An 11,504-nucleotide genomic window follows, 5' to 3' on the forward strand; every position below is an offset into this window, starting at 1 on the left:
CAAGCTAATGTATTAAACCAATATGGAAGTGTAGTCATGACCAATATATTTTCTAAATATTGATTCACTGGCAAACCAATATCTTTTGCCTATAGTTTTTCAATTCATATGGAACTCATTCATTATCCTAGCCCACATCTACAACACAAACAAATCAATGAGCTGTGTGCACCAACCAATATATTAAACTTGTACTTCAATAAAATTGTTGGGTGCAACTATTTTTTCACATATGTGGCCATCTAATTTTGTCAGGCTCTCACAAATAATAATTTTGACTTTTTAAAAAATGCCATTAAATTTGGGAGATTAAAATTACAATGTAGGCTTTCTCTCCATTTTTTGTGCCAAATATGTACACTGGATGTTAGGAGATTTTCTAGCTCCATGAATTCTTGATAAGTTAGTAGTAGATATGGAAAAACTAACTTTACCAATTTTTAACCCCAAAATATAGGTAAAAATAGTATCAGAAGAAAGCCGGGTATTAGAATGGGCCAGAATATCTATCATTTTCTGGTTCAGACGAGAGCAGCTTGTGAAAAGAAAGTAATTACTGCTTTATGCCACTAGGTTATTATTGAGAGATGACTAATTTCTTTGGTTCTTACACAATAATAGAAGCTCACACTTTCACTTAAAACTAATAGAGATTTTTCATAGAGATCACTAACTTCTTATTTGGTTAGAAATATGCATTGTTCATTAGTGGGGCTGTATTTGTATTTTTCTTTCAAGTTTTTACCACAGTTTTCAAGTTGACTTCATATCCAAGATGAAATTGAAACTAAAGTACAGCTCATTAGAACTCATGCAGGCTGATAGCTTCAATGGTGAAAGCCATCTGCATGATGACCCCATGTAACTTCTCTTCCTGGGAGAAAGGACTCCACCTTGATATTGGGCATGATACCTTCTGCTATCTCCATGCCTAATAAATACACCAGACTTTAGAGGCCACGTTTTGGTACATCTTTTTAAGAGATCCAACCCGCTATAAAAAGTGACATTAACCTTTAATTTAACTTCTTTCTGTCTCTTAGTCTAGACTGCTGGATTTCTCACTCAGTATAAAATCATGCAGCGTGTTATTGGAATGTCATCAGCATGAATAATGGATCCCATGCTTGTAGAGATGAACCTCAGGAAGAAAGGTTACCAATATGGCCTTTATAGTTCACACAGGCATTTTGAATGGAATATTCCAGACATCCAAAGCACTGAACGGGACTGGTTTGAAAAGTTATGACCACACTTTAAAAAATACCACAAATTTCGAACCCTCCAAGGATAGCAAACAGATTATAGGAATATATTAATAAGCATTAGTATGGTTCTTAAAAGTGAACATTGACTTTTCTATTTTTCTGTTAGTGAAATTAAAATGGATGGAGGTTCTTGGCAGTGTATGGTTCCCATAAAAATGGCACCTGCAGCCCTGGTTGTTCTTAAGATATTGGATCTTAGGATATTCGGCTCAAAGTATAATAGCGAATTTCAATTATAAGTGATGTTTCTCAGAAATGTGACATCTACCTGTCACATATACAGCTGCAATTTCCTTACAGTTATTTGTGTCTTCCTAGAATTCTGCTATCGTACTTGCATTTGTTGCATTTGTAAAAAATATACATTTGACTCTTGAATAGAAAGAATATAACTGTTTTACTTTAAATAAATTAGCGTAAGTATTAATCAGATTGTTTCACTATTTAACATGCGTGGTTTTATTTCACTCACTAGTAATGTCATATGCCACAGACTGATGGAAAAATCTAGCTATTCTGTGATGCTTATTTTTAAAATTGCATTACATTATTAGGACAATTTTTGAGAGTTCAAAGAAGAGTTTACATGGTTACTGGCAGCCCGACCTTCAATGGCAGAGGAAAGCCTCCTAACCCAACATGAATTATTTCTTCAGCAGAGGTATAAAAGACTAATGGAAAGTGGACCAAGTCAAAGGAAGGATAGTGTGCCATGCCAGATAGCACAATTTTGTGACTTTTTCAGGAACTTTCCTCCTCCACTATGCTCTCTTTCCTGGAAGGCTGACTTGCAGGGATTCCATGAACATTCTCATACCTTTAATCATTTGGCAGGGGTTCTTCCAAAGAGCAGAAGAACAGAAGAAATAGGCAGGTTAAGTCAGAATTTTGAGTCCCACCCCACCACCCCACTCCCCGCCCAGCTTTTGCCTTTCAAGGGTACCTCAAGCTAGTCCTGTTTGTCTCCCAAAGGGGACTATTCCACTCAAAAGAGTTGATACACAATTCTCTTTGTGATAGCCACTCCCTCTTCCTTACTCTTTTAAGCATAGGAGTAATAACACTTTTGTTACCACAAGCTCTGGATTAATGCACTATTCCTTCTGAGTTTGCTACACCTTTATAAATTAGCCCCATTTGTAAATAAACTTTGTTTTATCCTATTTTCCATAGTCCATCTGTTTCCTGTTGGGACCAAACTGATCTCATAGCATAATTTGAGATCAAATGGTGAGTGGCATTATTCTGCAATTTCTACATAAACTGAAAAATCTATGCAGATTTCTTAATTTAGTATCTGCAGGGTACAAATATCTAAAATATCCATTGAAATGCTTCACTGATTGTGCTTCTTTTTATTTTTGTCTTTTTTGATGAACTTTTTTGGTGTCTCATAGACAAAGTCTGTACTTACACAGAGATGAGAAAAATCCAGTCACAGGAAGTTTCTGGTGTCATTGTCTAATACTATTCTCATGCAGAGACATCCTTTCTAACTGAGAAAGGTTTTAGACGCATATGTAAACTAATTGAATTGAGAGGAAGTCTTTTATTCATAGTCCAACAAAATAAGCTCAGTGCCCTTTCATTTATATTTACCAAGTAATCACAGTAATCATCAGATATATTTTGATTTGCTGCATATAAAGTTAAAAAATAACTGCTGACTTCTTTCTAGTATATAATTTAAGAAAATTTTTATAATTTTTCTCATTAAAATACATTTACAGTAAAATTTTTGTATAATATAAACAAAAGACTTGTCAACCATCTCTTAATTTTGCTGTTTCCTCACTGGCAACTCTTTCTCATTATTATTTGCTAATTCCTTTTTTATTACTGACCTCTTAACATTGTAGTAAACCTTTCCTTATTCATTTAAACATATTCTCTTAGTTTCTGGTACCAATCTTATTACCTTAAATACCTTTTTAAATGTCAATGATTCCCAAATTTATCTCCACCATGAATCTCTTCCTGAACTCCTGATTCATATATCAAAGGGCCTACCAAACAGCTCCATGTGGATATCTCATAAATATCTCAAACTTAACATTTTCCAAACCAAATTGCTGGACTTACCTCCAAATGCTCCACCCAATGCTTTTCCATCTTTCTGGTTACTGAGGGTAAAGTTGGAATTTTTCTTAACTGCTCTCTTTTCTTTATATAAATCCATGTTCACATCTACTCCATCCATAAGTATTAATATATTTTCAAAACGTATGGAGGATCCAACTCTTTCTCACCATCTCCATTGTCACCACTCTAGTCCAAGCTAACATCACCTCTCTTCTTGATTATTGCATTGGTCTTCTAATTGGTGTCTTGCTGGTATATCTCCGTCTCCCCAAACTGTCTATTATCTATACTGTATTCAGAGTAATTAAGTTAAAACTGAGGTCAGATGATGTCCCTCTGTTCAAAATCATCCAATGACAGCCCTTATATTAGTTTTGTAGGGCCGCCTTAACAAATTACCACTAACTGGGTGGCCTAAAACAACAGATATTAATTCTCTCAGAGTTCTGGAAGCTAAAGTCCAAAATCGGGTTGACAGCAGGGGTGTGCTCCCTCTGAAGACTCCAATAAATAATCCTTCCCTGCCTCTCTCTCCTAGCCTCTGGTGGTTGCTGGCAATCTTTTTCTTTTCTTTTTTTTTTTTTGAGATGGAGTCTCACTCTATTGCCCAGGCTACAGTGCAGTGGCATGATCTCGGCTCACTGCAACCTCTGCCTCCCGAGTTCAAGACATTCTCCTGCCTCAGCCACCCGAGTGGGATTACAGGCACCTGCCACCGCGCCCGCCTAATTTTTGTACCTTTAGTAGAGATGGGGTTTCACCATCTTGGCCAGGCTGGTCGTCTTGAACTCCTGACCTCATGATCCACCCACCTCGGCCTCCCAAAGTGCTGGGATTACAAGCCTGAGCTGCCGTGCCCAGCCAGCTGGCAAACTTTGACATTCCTTGGATTGTAACTGCATCACTCCAGTCTCTGCCTGTGTCTTCATTCTGGCTTCTTTCCTGTATCTCCTCTGGGTCTTTATGTACAAAAGTCTTTCCACTTTCTCCTAAAAAGTCACCAGTTACTGTATTTAGTGCTTATCCTAATCTAGTATGACCTCATCTTAACTTGATTTAAATGCAAAGACTCTTTTTCCAAATCACAGGTTCCAGGTGGACATGAATGGGAGTGGGGAGCACCATCTACATCGTGTATTTCTGCATTTTATTTAGAGTAGAGGCGTGTAGTTGTGAGTAATGTTGTTCTCTTGAGGATATTGGTAATTTCCAGAGACATTTTTGATGGTTGTGACCGCAGCTGCTATGGGCATCTGCTAGATACCCACTCTGGGATGTTTTTAAACATCCTACAGTGCACAGGACAGCCTCACAAAATGAAGAATTATCAGGCCTAAAATATTAATAGTGTCAAAGAATAAAATTTCTCTAGTTTGAGAAACCTCACTCTTGGAGTAAGAGTCAGGATACTTACAGTGGCCTAAAGGCCCTTCAGCAACTGTCTCCTCTTCTCTATCCCAATGACATTCACCTTTTCCTTTCTCCAGCACTCCTTACTCCTCCCTTTTTTGGAATACTTATCTTTCTGATACCAGCATCATGAATTTTCTCACCTCCTTCAGGTCTTTATTCAAATGTCACCTTCTTGATGACATCTTCTATCCCAATAACCCCATTTAAATTGTCATGATCTCAAGCACTGCTAATTTCCCTTACCTGGCTCTATTAATTTCTAAAATATTCATCACCTTCTATTTTACTAAGCCATATACTTACTGATTAAGTTTATTGTCAATTTTCTATCATGTCACACCAAAACTGACTTACATAAGAACAGATATTTTTCGTGTTTACTCAGTGATATGTCTCAGTGCTTAAAATAATGCCTGAAACATGGTAGTGCTCAATAAATGTCTGAGTAATCAATAACATATTTGAATATATGAATTAATCAATAAGTGAAAATGCTTGTCATTCACCACACAAAGATAACCACTATATTTTCTAAAAGTGTACAAATAGAACAAAATTGTATGCCCATGAAGTAGACTATATAGAAGTACATGAAGTTGAAGTATTAAGACTTTTTTCCTTCAAATAAGTTGAAATGTTTCATTTATGATTATAAAGAAAAGATACATGATGTTATTTTGAAATTGACCATTAACACTGTAAAGTAGTTATCTCCTGGGGCCATGTGTGTAATTCAGGTGATGCACAATTCAAAGCCTTTCTTAACCTGCTCTTGGGGCTCTGATATTTCTAACCTTATGACACATTATTTTGAACGGCACTGATAGAGGCAAATCACGTTACTCATCAGAACCAAGCCTGCTGAGTAAAGAGAGGGAATGAATAAACCATGTGAAGTATTTAGTGGGACTATAAAGTAACAGATACCTTGGGTAATACCACTACCCATATCTAAATAAGAGTGCTTCTTTAAATAAATCTCTTTGGATCTCTACTCACTTATTCTACTTCATTCATAGTTTATATAATGGTATGAAGACAACAATGGAAAGCTACAGAATGTATCAAGAAGCATTGATACACAGGCTCCAAATGAGAAGTAAAACATTATAACATTTTATAAATAGTGGTAAATAAAAAATACGTAAACACAAATAAACTTACAAATATAGCTAAAGAAATGTGGCAAGTCACCCTTAGTATACCATATGACAAATAGTAGTAAATAAAATATTCAATGGGTTAATAAAGATATATTGATCAATGAGTGAAATTAGTCTGGAATTTATTTTCAAAACAAATACAGCAGCTTTCCTTCTTAGGAAATGGTAATTCTCCTCTGAAAAGCCTATATTATTCTCTGAGAGCCCAGACAATTTCTCAAACAGAAGTACTACCTGCACAGATTCTATATTTTCTTGAAAATGTTTCCCTTAGATTTATCCTTAACAGAGTGACTCTTAATTTGAAATACTATAATAATGCAATAGGTCTGGCAAGTTCCTAATGCTCAACTCATGACACAATGAACAAAAATATGGCATTTTTTGTAAATGTGGGTATTTAATATATCAAGGACAATATTGCCTCAATGGCTTTCAAAGGAGCAAATGATTATAGATTAAAAATTCAGAAGGAATGATTATTAACAATGTTAAATAGTAGCCAAAGTGTTGACCTATTTATGCCAATTTATTTTAGTTCTAAACAAAGTGAGTAAGTATTATAGGAAAGATCATGGGTGGTAAATGACATTTTTTATTACTTGGGACATTAGAAAAATTAACTTTCTGGAAAGTTAGAGTGCTCTTTATGAGAAGCATTTATACTGCCTCATGGCATAACTCAATTCATTTCTTTTTATTTCTACTAGGTAACTGAATGTTGCACTGTTTATGAAATCAAAATACTCTGATTGCTTTGGTCCTTTTTTAGGGTCATTCAGATACTAGCAGCCCATTGAGAAATTTAAGTGGAATTTGGAAGTGAGCAATAAAACATGAAAGACCTGACAGACTTGATTTATGAGTTCAGATTAATATAATTACAGAGTACATATTTTAGGGATAAAAATAATAATCCTAAAGGGAAACTATCATTAATAAAACAAGTATAACTACTGCAATTGGGCAAGATAGCAAATTACATCATAAAGACAGACAAACAATGGATAGATTTGTTAAGAGAGCTTAACACTGCACTGCAAAGAAACATGACAAAGAACATATAGACTAAGTATCAAAAATTATAATCTAAGAGAACCTGTACCAGCTGTGAGACATTCTCCCGAGGGAAGCAATGAGGACCAAAAAGATCTCATGTACTTACAATGGAATGAAACTAAGAAATCAGAAATTATTTTGTGTGTGAATGATTAAGACTGCTTTATACATTTCATTTCATTTCATTTCATTTATTTATTTATTTTCTAACCATACTTACATACATACTTGAAAGTGTTCTGGGCTGAAGCGAAGTTATTTTACCCTGAAGAGAGGATATTTAAATTCCATTGAGCAAAGGTAGATAATAAATACAACACCTGAGCAAGCTGCTGCTTCTTTTAAACAACAAAAAAGAGAGTATTAAAATCAACGTTCTCTTTTTCGTTCTTTTTTTTTTCGGCTGGCATTTTGCCAAAGCCTGAACAAGAAAACCCAGAAATGATCTTTTTAGTAGGTGAGCAGAAAGTGGCACTGGTATGATTAAAGAAAGGACTTGCTCCACCTGCATACATGATCTAACAAGAATTTATAGCTTTTCTAAAAGTGATTCCAAAGATGTGAAATCCTATCGTACCAGATTTCTCTTAACCTTTTCAGAGAAATCTTTCCATCATTCAAAAATTTCAAGCCCTCTTGATCAGCCTTAATTAGGTTGTCTCAAACGATGTGAAAGTTTTTTTTGAAAATGGCGTATAATAACTTAAGAGGGATAGAGTCTTTTAGCTTAGTTCATCCTCTTTCTTCCTCTCTTTGATACTAAGAACATGACACATGATAATTTTGGTGTGAATTTTTGCTTGTCAGGTTTTATTGGGCTGTGGACAATGGCAGAAACCTGGTAACCTGGAACACTGCTCTTCTGAGCAATCCACTGCAATTTGGGAAGAAAAGGGAGACTAAAATAATCTCCACTTGAAATTTTTCATGTAAAATTTCAAATAAAATAGCTTTTGCTAGCTGTATTTTCTTTGCTTTTAAATGAAGAGATGTTCAGCTTCCTCAATGTTTATCAAATTGGAAGAGTTATTTGAAATGAGAAATTAAGTTCTTATCCCAGCAAAATGGTCAAGAGCAGCGATCTCGTGGTGATTTGTGAGTCTTTCAAGACAGGCATCTAGTTCTCAGGCTGAGCTAGTTTCACCACAGATGAAGCAGTGGGTTACCAGAGCTGTCCTGCCCCTTGAGTTTTATGGGAATGGCTTATGCCACCAAAAAGTAGCATTATTTTATGCTTCCTCAAATCTGAACACAAGTTAGTTAGACTGGAGGTATATTGTTGATTCCTTTTCTCCATCTGGTTTTATAGTTAATGCACTTAATGTTCTTAAAATAAATAGTCTCAAATATAAACTTTAAATAGATTAAATTTTTACATTCCTTAGCAATTGAAATACACATGATTTCTTGGAGTTTCTTTTCTCATCTCTTCAAACATTTGGGCAAATTCGATGTGTTCATCTTTACACATGAGAAATAAGGTATTGGCACACATTTCTAATAGGGTCAAAAAGGTAACATCTGGTAAACCAAGACAGATATTATTTTAAAACACTTATTCCTGGATTGGAAATAAATTGTGAAAAAGAAAGTTCAGTTACCTTTGATGAAATTTAACAAATATGTGAACACTAACCTAAAACTGCCAAGTATTAGCACTGAACTTGGCTAAAGATTTATTTCCTATTTTAAGTTTAAATGAGTTTGAGATTTCAGTATCTGTGGGATTCTCTGAGCTTCAAAGTTGTCAAATAAACAACAACAACAACAACAAAACCTCCCATTCTCAGTTTTATCTGTCTCCTGGACTATATTTTAAATCAGTAAAAATGTCAATGATTTAGATTAATTCTTAAAATTTGATAGTGGTCCAGACAGCTGAATTTGCACAATGAAAACTAATAATTGAAATGAGGAAATGTTGGTTTAAGATGGTTTTTATTTTATGAGACCAGGTTCACAAAATCCTGGGCCAAAATATTGTAATCCCCATTGATAAAGTAGGTTACTTAAGCTTTGTTTGAGTTCATTAATGCAAATAATAACTTGAGAAGGGGAAGTATATCTATGTAAATTAACTTATAGTCTCTGATTAGCAAAATTAAAATGTAAAAGTACTATTAGTTATAATGACTCTCTACATTATTATTTCTATCTTATTTTATAAAGATTCTCTTGAAGTATATTGGTTTGACATGGTATTTCAGAAATATGCTCAAGATATATTTCTTAGTATTAACTTCAACCATCTCTATCAGGAGAAACCATTTCTTCAAAGTCTAGGTCACATACACATATACATTATATATATTGTACATAACTAATATATACTGTATATAAAATATATGATATATACTAGAAATGGTATTGTATATATCATATACAATATATAAGTGTATTATGTATAATTTTAGATATATATTATATATAACATATATGAGATTATAAATATCAATTAATCAAATACACATGTGCCCCTGATGTCAGGTATTTTACACTGGATTTTTTATTATCCCTTAATTTAAACCATGGCAAAAAAAAATTTGCTGTAAATTTGACATGAATAATATTATACCTTCAGGAAATAAAATTATATTCAGCATAGCTATAACTTGTGGATGTTATATATTTATAGAAGTCTGTTGCATGATGTTTTTCCACTAAGATTTAATTCAGCAGTTTATTGTTACACTTTAGACTCTGTGTATATCTTTTAAATGAGAGTATTTATACTTAAAAGAATCTACTACCTATGATCGGCACTGAATGGCCATCTCATAACCGACTTGCTACAGCATATATTCTCTGTCTGTCTTATCCTACAACAGTCATGTATAAATGCCTTTCTTTTGGTTCCTTTTTATCTTTTGGTTCCTAATATCCTTTTGACAATAAAGGACATAGTGTTCATGACATTTAAAGTAAGTCACCTATTCACTTCTTGAGTGACAGCTGTAGCCTTGCCAGAGGAAAAGGTAGGAGGGAGGTCCCTCCTTTCCTGAAATGTGTGACAGCGGATGTCAGGAGCACCTCCTCCCCAATACTTAAGCACTAGAATTTGCTTTATGCCCAGTTTTAAAACTGCCATGGCTTCACTTTCTCTGGTGGCTTAAAGGAAATTAAAAAAAAAAAATAGGTGAATATTCATGGCTTGGCTTTAATTTTATCTCAGATTAGAAAGGTGCTTTCAGTCATTAATTCAATCAGTCAATTACTCAATGCATGCTAACTATATCCGCATGCTTATTAGATGCTGGGAACTATCAGTAACCTGACCCAAGGATCTCACAGTCAAGTGCAATGACAGCCTCCACCTCCAGTCTATCTGCATTCTCACCATGCTTTTAAAATAATTTGCAGCCACCACCTATGCTAAGCTTTCAACATTCCTGATGTTTCTCCTTTTTATTCCTTTGTATGTCTGGCAAACGTCTAATAGTTCCTCAAGACTCAAATGACTTATGTCCTCCTCTACAATCTCTATCCCCTGAAGGTCTCAGAACATGTTAGGACTTCTTTGCTCTCTGTTCCATAGCCCCTGCATGCACCCCTGGTAGAGAACACTTACCACATCATTTTGTAGCACTCTGTTTATCTGTCTGCCTCCCCATCTAGACAGTGAGCAACTTGAGAGCAGGATTTTTTCTCTGATCATTGATGTATCACCAAAGCCTGTCTCAGAGTTTGGCAGAAGATATATTGGAAGAAAGAAAAGAAATGAAGTGAAATGAAATGAAATAGACACCCTTGGCAAATGAGCCCCTGGAGTATCCTTGTGAGCCTCCTATTATGGAATTTCAGTTTCTCCAGAGTGCACATGTTGGTAAGTGAGTGGGTGGGGGTTGCTGTCTAAATATTAAAATAAAACACATTCAAATAATTTATTTTACTCCCTTTTTAAAACGCCAAAACACAATGCTTTATTAAAGGTATAAACAAAACAAAGCAAAACAAAAATATATCACCAACAATCATGATTAACATCTGGTATTTGAAATTTCTGCAGAGGCAATTTCCCAATGGAGTCTCGGAGCTAAGCCTACTACAGCCTCTTGAGATTGTCATTTGGCAGTCTAGGTTTAATAGAACAAAGGGGATGATCTATTGCCTGGAGGCCAAATGGTGCTCTTTCAACCTGGTATCTGTCAAGATAGGAAGAAGATAATGCCACTTTACATCATTTACAATGAGACTGGAGCAGCAGAAAGCAAGCAGGTTGCAAGTGTACAGCTCACATAGCTTCCTTGAGGCTTTCCGATTCTCAGAAACAATGCATATTTATTTTAAGATTAGCTGCCTGAATGGCAAAAGAATCACACAAAACACGCACGCGCGCACACACACACACACACACACACACACACATATGGAGCCAAGCAAAGACAGAAAGAGGTTGAAAGTCCTTTGCAATAAAACTGAAGGTAAACTTAAACTTCTTATCTTAACAAAATAACAATATCTTAATTTATTTCAATTTGCAAACATGCAAAAAATTATGGATGAAAAAGGAAATACTATT

General features: G+C 34.9%; 1 long non-coding RNA gene across 2 annotated transcripts in view; it reads right to left on the bottom strand.

Annotated features, from left to right (window-relative positions):
* LOC105370603 (uncharacterized) overlaps positions 1 to 10,649 on the bottom strand; it is an 82,165-nt gene extending 71,516 nt beyond the window's left edge. Inside the window, exon 1 of one of the 2 annotated variants that reach the window (XR_944097.2) lies at positions 10,554 to 10,649. This is a non-coding gene — a long non-coding RNA (uncharacterized LOC105370603). Of the gene's footprint in view, positions 1 to 3,350; positions 3,526 to 10,553 lie in introns of those variants that run through there. The other variant, XR_944098.3, reaches the window with a different exon arrangement.
* Positions 10,650 to 11,504: the final 855 nt, after the last annotated feature.

Source organism: Homo sapiens, chromosome 14 (assembly GCF_000001405.40).
Source record: "Homo sapiens chromosome 14, GRCh38.p14 Primary Assembly".
Lineage (NCBI taxonomy): Eukaryota > Metazoa > Chordata > Mammalia > Primates > Hominidae > Homo > Homo sapiens.